Consider the following 11307-nt stretch of genomic DNA (forward strand, 5'->3'; position numbering starts at 1 on the left):
AGCAGATTAAGAGCTGAGCAGAGTTTCCTGTGCCCTGTGCTTCATTAGCACATTGGTGGTGTCGTTTCCGGTGACTGACTCTCTGTTTCCATTCTGGCAAAGTGGTTTGCTCTTTTCACTCTGCTTTGGGTGTTGAAGGAAGACGAGCTTCTCACGGAGCCTCTCTTGAGCCTCTTGGCAGTTTCCCCCTCTGTGCCCCTCACGTTTCCACCAGAAACGTGAAGGCAGAGGCCACAGATTCTCCCTGAGCCACCTCACTTGGAAGCACCATGTCCGGATGAGATCGCACTTCCTGCAGTGGGCATTAGCCACGTCCAGGTAGAACCAAACCTGTTGCTTTTGTATGTTGGGTCAACTTGGCCTGACGTTTCAGAGGTAGACACGAGATAGGGAGTTTGTTGCGGGGGTGGGGAGAAGTGGTAGACATGCTGGCTAACTGATTATGATTAAGAGAAACTTAGAAGCTGAAGCCAGAGAGCATCTCAAAGGTTCCTGATACAATGGATGGTGTCACTCCAACCCTTTCGACAATCAGAGGGAGGACCTTGGAGTCCAGCACTCTGCATGTGACTCCCCGCAGCCTGGACAGGTGAGTGACTCAGGGTGGTGAGCTCCACCCTGCCCTGATTTAGGCAGAAGGTCCTAGTCCACCCTTAGGAGCTTCTTACACAGCAGTGCTGCCACCTCTCAACACCCAGGCTCGGTCTACTAAACCACCAAACTCTAGGCTTGGAGGCATTTGCTCAGGGGTGCTAGGGGGAAAGGAAGGTATTGAGGAAAGAAAGAAAATATTGTGGTAGAGGAAAAACTGTGATAACACTGGCCCTTAAAGCTAGTTGCTTAGACTGGTTGGATTTCTCACCTCTCGGAGGCCCTGAACCCTATCATCAGTCTTTCCTAGGTGTCACCATGACAGAAACAAAAGGCTGAGTTTTCCAAGGATGTGTTTTGAGATCCAAAAACTTGTCATGAATAAAAAATGTAGTGATAGATGTAATAAAGATACGTCCTTAGGACGTAAAATCTTACAGAACTAATCATGGGTATGAATTACTGCTACTACTTTCAATCTCATACAAACAAAATTAAAAATCCATCCACAGTTGAAACTTTAAAAACATTGGCAGCTGACTGGGCGCGGTGGCTCACACCTGTAACCCCAGCACTTTGGGAGGCCGAGTGGGGCGGATCACCCCCACTCTTGAACCAGCCTGGCCAAGACCAGCCTGGCCAACATGGTGAAACCCCGTTTCTACTAAAAATACAAAAATTAGCCGGGAGTGGTAGCATGCTCCTGTAGTCCCAGCTACTCAGGAGGCTGAGGCAGGAGAATCACTTGAACCCGGGAAACAGAGGTTGCAGTGTCATGTCATTGTACTCCAGCCTGGGCAACAAAAGCGAAACTCTGTCTCAAAAAATAAAATAAAATTGCAGTCGTTTGGGGAAATAAATGTTATTATCATGGCAAACACATGTCACTTGCTGGTAGATATGAGCATCAATGAGCAATGAATCAGAAGCCTGAAGCATCTCTCCAAAACTATTTCTTCATTTATTTTTATTTATTTCTAATTGGCAAATCAAAATTATATATATTTATCATGATAGCCTGTTGTTTTGAAATATGTATACATTGTACAATAGCTACATTAAACTAATTAAGATACACATTACTTCACAATTTTCTTTTGTGGTGAGAATACTTAAAATTTCTCAGCAATTTTCAAGAATATGACACATTTTTATTAACTATAGTCATCAACACTTTTTTTGTTTTGTTTTGTTTGTTTTTTTTATTTTTATTTTTTTAGACAGAGTCTCGCTCTGTCGCCCAGGCTGGAGTGCAGTGGCGTGATCTCGGCTCACTGCAGCCTCCACCTCCCAGGTTCAAGCTATTCTCCTGCTTCAGCCTCCTGAGTAGCTGGGATTGCAGGCATGTGCCACCACCCGCGGCTAACTTTTTTTTGTATTTTTAGTAGAGATGGGGTTTCTTCATGTTGGTCAGGCTGGTCTCGAACTCCCTACCTTAGGTGATCCGCCCACCTCTGTCTCCCAAAGTGCTGGGATTACAGGCATGAGCCACCGGGTCTGGACCATCAACACATTTTTATTAACTATAGGCATCATGTTATACAACAGATCCCTTGAATTTTTCTTTCTCTCTAACTGATATTTTGTACCCTTTGACCAACATCTCTGCAACCCCTCCCTGGTAACCACCATTCTACTCTCCACTTCTTTTTTTTTTTTTTTTTTTTTGAGACAAAGTTTCACTCTTGTTGCCCAGGCTGGAGTGCAAGGTTGCAATCTAGGGTCACTGCAACCTCCACCTCCCAGGTTCAAGCGATTCTCCTGCCTCAGCCTCCCCAGTAAATGGGATTACAGGCATGAGCCACCATGCCTGGCTAATTTTGTATTTTTAGTAGAGTTGGGGGTTTCTCCATGTTGGTCAGGCTGGTCTCGAACTCCTTACCTCAGGTGATCCGCCCACCTCCGCCTCCCAAAGTGCTGGGATTACAGACATGAGCCACCATGCCCCGCCTTGGTAGTTCTATTTTTAATTTTTGAAGAACCTCCATAGTGTTTTCCATAATGGCTGTACTACACTTAAAACTATTTCTATATTAATTCATTTGTTTATTAATTCATTCATTTAACAAATATTTATCAGGGCCCTACTAAGTACCAAGCACTGTTTAAGGCACTAGGTGAACAGGATAAACAAGTCCATAACCTCCTGAAGATTATAGACAAGTGGGAGAGTCAAATAATGAACAGAGCTGAGCGTGGTGGCTCATGCCTATAATCCAAGCCTTTGGTAGACCAAGGCAGGAGGATCAATTGAGCCCAGGAGTTCAAAACCAGCCTGAGCAACACATGGAGACCCTGTCTCAAAATTTTTTTTTTTTAAATAAAAAAATGATAAACAGATAAGCATATGAATGTATAATATCAATCAATCGGGCTGGGTGAGGTGGCTCACGCCTGTAATCCCAGCACTTTGGGAGGCCAAGGTGGGCAGATCACCCAAAGTCAGGAGTTCGAGACCAGCCTGACGAATATGATGAAACCCCATCTCTACTAAAAATACAAAAATTAGCCAGGCGTGGTGGTGCGTACCTGTAGTCCCAGCTACTCGGGAGGCTGAGGCAGAAGAATCACTTGGACCCAGGAGGGGGAGGTTGTGGTGAGCCAAGATCATGCCATTGCGCTCCAGCCTGGGAAACAAAAGCGAAACTCCATCTCAAAAAAAAAGATATATCAATCAGTCATCAGTGCTATGAAGAAAAAGTGGAGCACAGCAAGGGGACTGCAAGTAATAGGGTGTGGCCATGGAAGACGTGTCTGAGGAGATGACATTTGACGTTTCAGAAGAGACCTGAATGAGAGGGACTCAGCCATGCAGACAGCTGGGAGAGGAGGATTCCTGGGAGAGGGAGTGGCAGGTCTGACACAGAACTGTGCTCTGCATGGGCAAGGGATCCTGGCAGTCAAAGTCAGAGGGAAAGTGGTAGGAAATAAGGTCAGAGGTAAGCAGAGGCCAGATCATATCGTGCCGTCAAGTCCTCTCTGAGGAAGGACTATAGACTTTATTCTAAGTCACTCGAAGCCGGGGAGAGTGATGAGTAGAGGAGGGATGTGATCTGATTTACCATTTAGAATTATCACACTGGTTTTTGTGTGAAGACAACGAATGTTGAGGCCAAGAGTTAAAGCAAGGAGACCATCCAGGAAAGTTATTGCAAAGGTTCCTGTGAAATGCACAGCAGCTTAGACCCGAGTGGTGGCAACAGAGGAGCAAGAGGTGGTTGGGTTTGGGATAAATGCCCAGGGTAATGCAGCCAGAATCTGCTGGTTGACTGGAAGTGGGGCATGAAAGAAAAAGAGCTCCAAGAATGGCTCCAAGATTTTTGACTAAGCCATTAGATTATGGGAAACACCTGGGGAGTAGCAGGTTTATGTGGGGAGAACAGGAGCTCTGTTTTGGTTTGAGCTGTCTGTTAGGCAACTAGTTAGAAATGCTCACTAGAAACTTGGATGGGCTGGGCGCGGTGGCTCACACCTGTAATCCCAGCACTTTGGGAGACTGAGGCAGGCGGATCATTTGATGCCAGGAGTTCAAGACCAGCCTGGCCAACATGGTGAAATCCCATCTCTAATAAAAATACAAAAAAAATTAGCCGGGCGTGGTGGCGTGTGTCTATAGTCCCGGCTACTCAGGAGACTGAGGCAGGAGAATCGCTTGAACCTGGGAGGCAGAGGTTGCAGTGAGCCAAGATCATGCCACTGCACTCCAGCCTGAGCGACACAGCGAGACTCTGTCTCAAAAAAAAAGAAAGAAAGAAAGAAAGAAAGAAAGAAAGAAAGAAAGAAAGAAGGAAAGAAAGAAAAGAAAAGAAAGAAAGTTGTATAAATAAGCCTAAAACTCAAGGGGACAAAAACCTTCCCTGTTAAATGCCCTGGTTTCTAATAATTGGGGGTAGCACGTCAGTTCCTGATTCCCGCTGTAACTTCAGTTGGCAGCTTCCTGTTGCATTAGGCATAGCCATCTGGGGTTGTAATCATCTGGATGCATTTCAACACCCAAGCAAAACCGAGCAGTGACGCCAGCCCTGCCAGGGAATTGCAAGGTAGCACAGAACATGAATTGGTTAAACTTCACACAACAGCAGTGTGTTGCTTGGAGACCAGCTCCACAAATTGGTGCGGGGGGGGGGGCGGCGGGGGGTGGGGGGTGTTATTCAAGTTCATGCAAGCTGGACTCTGTCACAGAGCCACTCCTTAACTGTACGTTGGCTAATCCTCTCCTCCAAGCAAGCCAGGAAGCCCACGAGTAGGGAACAAGAAGGGGCAAGGCCAAATGACTTTGACTTTGCAGGTTTGGAGGACAGTGTGGCAGAGTGGAAAGAGCATGGTCTTTGGACGCAAACAGACCTAGATTCATATTCCTTCTCTGCTCCTTCCTACCTAGGTGATCTCTGACATGTTACTTTACCTTTCTGAGTCTAAAGCTCAGGTTACTTGGCCACAAAGTGTGATAGGATTGTTAAAGATTAAATAAGTTTCACAGGCCGGGCACGGTGGCTCACACCTGTAATTCCAGCACTTTGGGAGGCCAAGGCGGGCAGATGACAAGGTCAAGAGATTGAGACCATCCTGGCCAATGTGGTGAAACCCCGCCTCTATTAAAAATACAAAAATTAGCTGGGCCTCATGGCACGCTCCTGTAATCCCAGCTACTCTGGAGGCTGAGGCAGGAGAATGGCTTGAACCCAGGAGGCGGAGGTTGCAGCGAGCTGAGATTGTGCCACTGCACTCCAGCCTGGGCGACAGAGAAAGACTCCATCAAAAAGAAAGAAAGAAAGAAAGAGAGAGAGAGAGAGAGAGAAAGGAAGGAAGGAAGGAAGGAAGGAAGGAAGGAAGGAAGGAAGGAAGGAAGGAAGGAAGAAAGAAAGAAAGAAAGAAAGAAAGAAAGAAAGAAAGAAAGAAAGAAAGAAAGAAAGAGATTAATAAGTTTCACATGTGAATCCCTGGCACCCGGTAGGCATTTGAAAGGAATAGTTCCCTTCTCCCCTGTCCAAGTCCCCTCTCTCCATAAAGTCAATATTCAGAGATAACCCTCTCTTCCACCACACCCCACCTGGGCTTTCCTTCACTCGGCTCCCATTCCAAATCTTCAGGCTCTAACTCCAAAAGGAAATGTCTCCTCCAGCCTCTCCACCCTCCTACAGCTAGCACATGTCATTCGATTGTTTTTCTAGAAATAAAGACCAGATCACCAACATCTTTTCCGGGTTTGCGGGACTCCTCGCCATCCTCCTGGTCGTTGCGGTTTTCTGCATCTTGTGGAATTGGAATAAACGGAAGAAGCGTGAGTCCCTTGTTTGTCCTGAGTTGAGACACAGTAGGATTATTAATCTAGGCTGGAATTTAAAGCCCAGCTTATTTACCAGGGATAAACTATTGGCCTGGGGAGTCCTCAGTTCTTACCCGATACATTGGCCATTGCCTCACTCAAGATCCTGAACTGTGGCTCCAAAAGCCCAGTGCTGATGGAGTTCCCCTGGGAAAGACATTGCCCTGGTGCCCCTGTGTCCAGTTTCCTCTTTACGTTCTGTCCATCAAGTCCCCTGTTCCTCTCACTCAAATGAAAATTCCTGTAGCTTGAGTCTGAAAGGGTATTTTTGTGAGAACTGGCAAGGATGGGGAGCATTTTCAGGGGCCATCTCATTCCCATGAGTCTCTTCACTCTGTGCAGCTGACCCCCGCCATGACTCCCATCTCTCTCATTGCCTTGCAGGACAAGTTCCTTACCTCCGAGTTACCGTCATGCCCTTGCTGACTTTGCCACAAACCAGACAAAGAGCCAAAAATATTTATGACATCTTGCCTTGGCGACAGGAAGACCTGGGTAGGTTTTTCCTTCTAATCTATGGAGTCCAGATATTCGAACTTCTACTCCCAGAATGTGCCTCTCACCCTCCAGAAGCAATTTTCTTTAAGTTCTCAAACCTGTTTGCCCTTCAGAGAGTATCAGGGAGAATGGGATAGATAGACTGTCAGCTGCAACTCCAGGGGGGTCTGGAGGGCTCCAAAAAGGGAGCAGAGGGTCATCTGGGCTGGGAGTTTTGTTTTTTCTTAATGTTAAGGCAACAGAAGAAAGCCAAGTGTGTCCAGGCATAGGGAAGACACCAAGGAAGAGAACTCGGTGCCAGCATCACAGGCAGAGGATGGGGCAGGGAGGAGGTTCTCACACAGGAGCTTGTTTCTCAGCCTCCCAACCCCTGTGATAGCATCCTCCAGTGCCACAGAAGCTGAGGGGCTTCCGGTTCTCAGAGTGTCATCCCCATAACTCTGACCTCAGAACATGAGAGAACACCAGACCCAAGGCTGGAAATTCCAGACACCACGCAAACCCGCTTCATCCATGATGCAGGGATTATTTGGACTGAAGCACTCAGAGGACTGGCTATCTTCAGGATTTGTTCTCTGTCCTTTCAGGGAGACATGAGTCGAGGAGTATGCGCATTTTCAGTACTGAGAGCCTCCTCTCCAGAAATTCTGAGAGCCCGGAGCATGTGGTAAGAGTCAAGCTTCTTGGGAGAATGACATGTCTCTGGCAGAAGAACTGCGGGGAAAGAGTTATAGGGCTTAGATCTGGTTTCACTGCAAACAAACAGCATGCCCTTTGGCACTCGCCCTGCAGTCCTATTAATAAATTGGGAAGACTAGCCTCAGGATCTCCTATACCCAAAAAGAAAAATTAAGGACAGAGGCAAGTGCTTGGAGTTATAAAAAGGGCACCAGGGTACAGATATTCAAGTGCATAATGTCAGAACTAAAATTGATTGGTATATTTTTTTTTCTTTTTTCTTTTTTGAGATGGAGTCTTGTTCTGTCACCCAGGCTGGAGTGCAGTGGTGCGATCTCGGCTCACTGCAACTTCTGCTTCCCAGGTTCAAGCAGTTCACCTGCCTCAGCCTCCCAAGTAGCTGGGATTACAGGCATGCGCCACCACGCCCAGCTAATTTTTGTATTTTTAGTAGAGACGGGGTTTCACCATGTTGGCCAGGATGGTCTCAATCTCTTGACCTTTTCATCCACCCGCCTTGGCCTCCCAAAGTGCTGAGATTACAGGCATGAGCCACCGTGCCCAGCATTTTTTTTTTTTCTTTTTTTGCTCACTCCAACCTCTGCTTCCTGGGCTCAAGCAATCCTCCCACCTCATCCCCCCAAGTAGCTGGGACCACAGGCACACACCACCACGCCTGGCTAACTTTCATATTTTGTGTAGAGATGGGGTTTCACCATATTGCCCAGGCTGGTCTCAAACACCTGAGCTCAAGCAATCTGCCCGCCTTGGCCTCCCAAAGTGCTGAGATTACAGGTGTGAGCCACCATACCCTGCCAATTGATTGTTTTAACAAAGACATGACAACATGTTTATTCAAATGAATGTTGCTCCTTTCAAAGTGATCACCTCAGGAGGGTATGCAAATATTCCAACAATGCCATTGGTGCTCAAAACACACTTAAAAACCTGCTTTGGATATTACTTGCAGGGCTTATGTCAATTATTTCAATTACCCTCAGGAGCAGAAATATCTGTTAAGTCATTCAGCACTGTAGCTGATATAGAAAGTGTTTGATCAAATGAGGTTGTTATAGGACCAACAGGTTTGTGTGTCTGCTGCCCGGTAACAGAACATACACTGTCACTACTAAAAATACAAAATATTAGTCGGGCAGTGGTAGGAGGCACCTGTAATCCCAGCTACTCAGGAGGTTGAGGCGGGAGAATCGATTGAACACGGGAGGCAGAGATTGCAGTGAGCTGAGATTGCTCTACTGCACTCCAGCTTGGGCGACGAGAGCGAAACTCCTTCTCAAAAACAAAAATAAAAACAAACTTATGATGTAAATATTATGATAATCTTCATTTTATAAATTAGGAAATGAAGACACCGAGAGATTAGGTCAGGTGCTCATACTCACTTGGCACAAAGTGGTGAGGCTAGGATTTGTACCTTTAGTCTAAGCCTCACCTTTAGCCACTATGTTGTACTGCCTCTCAGTGGGCTCTTCAGTTGATAATATTTTCGTCCCACCCGCACCCCCCCACCAATTGATTCCCATACTGTGGCCAAAAACTAGTTGTGATTTATCATCACATTTGCACTGTTGCTCTTCTTTTTTTTTTTTTTTTTTTTTTTTTTTTCAGAATATGCCAGTGGTATTTTCCAAGAAGAAAGGCTTTGTCCATATTTCTGCTTGCATCTGACCACTGGCTTCCTTTTCTTCTTCATAGCCCTCCCAAGCAGGCAATGCCTTCCAGGAGCATACAGCCCACATCCATGCCACAGAGTACGCGGTGGGTATCTATGACAACGCCATGGTCCCCCAGATGTGTGGGAACCTCACTCCCTCGGCACACTGCATCAATGTCAGAGCTTCCAGAGACTGCGCAAGCATTTCTTCAGAGGATTCGCATGATTATGTCAATGTCCCCACAGCAGAAGAGATTGCTGAGACTCTAGCTTCTACCAAAAGCCCTTCCAGAAATCTCTTTGTTCTTCCCAGTACCCAGAAGCTGGAGTTTACTGAGGAAAGAGATGAGGGCTGTGGAGATGCTGGTGACTGCACCAGTTTGTATTCTCCAGGAGCTGAGGACAGTGATTCACTCAGCAATGGAGAAGGTTCTTCTCAGATCTCAAATGACTATGTCAACATGACAGGGTTGGATCTCAGTGCCATCCAGGAAAGGCAGCTCTGGGTGGCTTTTCAGTGCTGCAGAGACTATGAAAATGTTCCAGCAGCAGATCCCAGTGGAAGCCAGCAGCAGGCTGAGAAAGATGTGCCATCCTCAAACATAGGTCATGTCGAGGACAAGACAGATGATCCCGGGACCCATGTCCAATGTGTCAAAAGGACATTCCTTGCTTCAGGGGATTATGCAGACTTTCAGCCATTCACACAGAGTGAGGACAGTCAGATGAAACATAGAGAAGAGATGTCAAATGAGGACTCCAGTGACTATGAAAATGTGCTAACTGCCAAGTTAGGAGGCAGGGACTCTGAGCAGGGGCCTGGCACTCAGCTCCTTCCTGATGAATGAAGACCCAGGTACCCAGCCATAAAGCCACATTGAGTAGTCTATCCCATAGGATTGACTACTGCAGAGTCTAGTGCAGACCCGTGATCACCTTAGTGCTTCAGTGGATTCACTGGTTAGATTAAAAAGAGGCTGAGATGAGCAGTGAACTAAGAGGCCACACAAAAGCAGAGGTTTGGGAATTCCAGAAGGGAATTCTTCTCAAGCAGAGTGTGGTTATCTCCTGTACCAGCCTAAGAATGTTTGCTGAAACTGCTTCCTAGAACTGTGAAGAAAGCAGGAAAGTAGTGCACAGTAGTCTAAGATTATTACCTTCATTAATACCAACAGGCTGCAAAGCAAGAGTATAGATTATTGTATAATCCAGTCAGAGGTCAAAAGGAAGGAAGAAGTTGGAGTGGAGTGGGGTGGGCAATTTCCATTTTAAAGAGTGTAGGCAGGCCAGGTGCAGTGGCTCATGCCTGTAATCCCAGCATTTTGGTAGGCCGAGGAGGGCAGATCACTTGGTGCCAGGAGTTCTAGACCAGCCTGGCCAACATGACCCATCTTTACTAAAAATACAAAAATTAGCCAGGCGTGGTGGTGTGCCCCTGTAATCCCAGCTACTCAGGAGGCTGAAGCAGGAGAATCGCTTGAACCCGGGAGGTGGAGGTTGCAGCAAGCCGAGATTGTGCCACTGTACTCCAGCCTGGTGACAGAGCGAGACTCCCTCTCAAAAAAAAAAACAAACAAAAAAGAAGTGTGGGCAACCAAATGTAGGTAAGGATGAAGAAGAACAGGAACTCTCACTGGTGGCTGATGGGATTGCAAAGCGTCAGGGCAGCTTTGAAAAACTTTTCAGCAGTTTCTTATAAGCATAACTTATCATATGGCCCAGCCATTTCACTACTAGAAATTGACGCAAGTGAACTGAAAACTTATGTTCACACAAAAACTCGCACATGACTGTTTATAGCAGCTTCATTCATAATTACCAAAAACTAGAAATAACCCAGATATCCTTCAACAGGTGATTGGATAAGCTGTTGATATCCATTCCTTGAGTTTATCCATACTCAACAGTAAAAAATGAACTCTTGGTTCACACAATAATATAGACATATCTTAAATCCATTTTGCTAAGTGAAAGAAGCTAGGCCTAAAAGTCTACATGTTGGGCGATTCTATTTATATGACATTCTGGAAAAGGCAAAACTATAGGGATGAAGAACAGATCAGTTGTTGTCAGGTTTGAGAAAAGGAGGGAAGTTTGCTACAAAGGGGCTGCAAAGGGAATAGGCTGATGGAGCTGTTCTGTATGGTACTGTGTGGTGGATACATGACAATATCCATTTGCAAACACAAGAACTATACACATGGCCAGGCGCGGTGGCTCACACCCGTAATCCCAGCACTTTGCGGGGCCGAGGCAGGGGAACACAAGGTCAGGAGATCAAGACTGTCCTGGACAACATGGTGAAACCCTGTCTCTACTGTCTCTAACATTTGTAAACCTGTCTCTAATTTGTAATTTGTAAACCCTGTCTCTCATATTTGTAAAACTACAAAAATTAGCTTGGCATGGTGGTGTGCGCCTGTAGTCCCAGCTACTAGGAGGCTGAGGCAGGAGAATCACTTGAACCAGGAAGGCGGACTGCATTCCAGCCTGGGCAACAGAGAAAGACTCTGTCTCAAAAAAAAAAAAAAAAAAAAAA

The 11307-nt window shown here is 46.2% G+C and overlaps 1 protein-coding gene across 4 annotated transcripts, besides 2 other annotated features; it reads left to right on the forward strand.

The window, feature by feature from the left end:
• Positions 1-360: an enhancer, noted in NCBI's record as "active region_2355". NCBI's record gives its function as "activates an Ori minimal core promoter by ATAC-STARR-seq in GM12878 lymphoblastoid cells {active_cell/tissue: GM12878}" and the evidence as "EXISTENCE:reporter gene assay evidence [ECO:0000049][PMID:35858748]".
• On the forward strand, positions 118-11307 carry LAX1 (lymphocyte transmembrane adaptor 1). Of its 4 annotated transcripts, XM_006711397.4 has the most exons (6): positions 118-318; positions 452-589; positions 5763-5872; positions 6302-6412; positions 7003-7082; positions 8810-11307. In XM_006711397.4, exons 2-6 carry the CDS (start codon positions 501-503, stop codon positions 9614-9616), a joined length of 1197 nt encoding a protein of 398 aa, XP_006711460.1. In that variant the 5' UTR covers positions 118-318; positions 452-500; the 3' UTR covers positions 9617-11307. The 4 variants fall into 4 exon arrangements, with proteins under 4 accessions (XP_006711460.1, NP_060243.2, NP_001129662.1 ...); NM_017773.4 differs by having other exon boundaries at positions 118-589; NM_001136190.2 differs by lacking the exon at positions 452-589.
• Positions 7678-8253: an enhancer, noted in NCBI's record as "OCT4-NANOG hESC enhancer chr1:203741871-203742446 (GRCh37/hg19 assembly coordinates)". NCBI's record gives its function as "activates a minimal SCP1, AML or CMV promoter by ChIP-STARR-seq in primed H9 embryonic stem cells {active_cell/tissue: H9 hESC(primed)}" and the evidence as "EXISTENCE:reporter gene assay evidence [ECO:0000049][PMID:30033119]".

The sequence above is a fragment of the Homo sapiens genome, chromosome 1 (genome assembly GCF_000001405.40).
Source record: "Homo sapiens chromosome 1, GRCh38.p14 Primary Assembly".
Classification (NCBI taxonomy): Eukaryota; Metazoa; Chordata; class Mammalia; order Primates; family Hominidae; genus Homo; species Homo sapiens.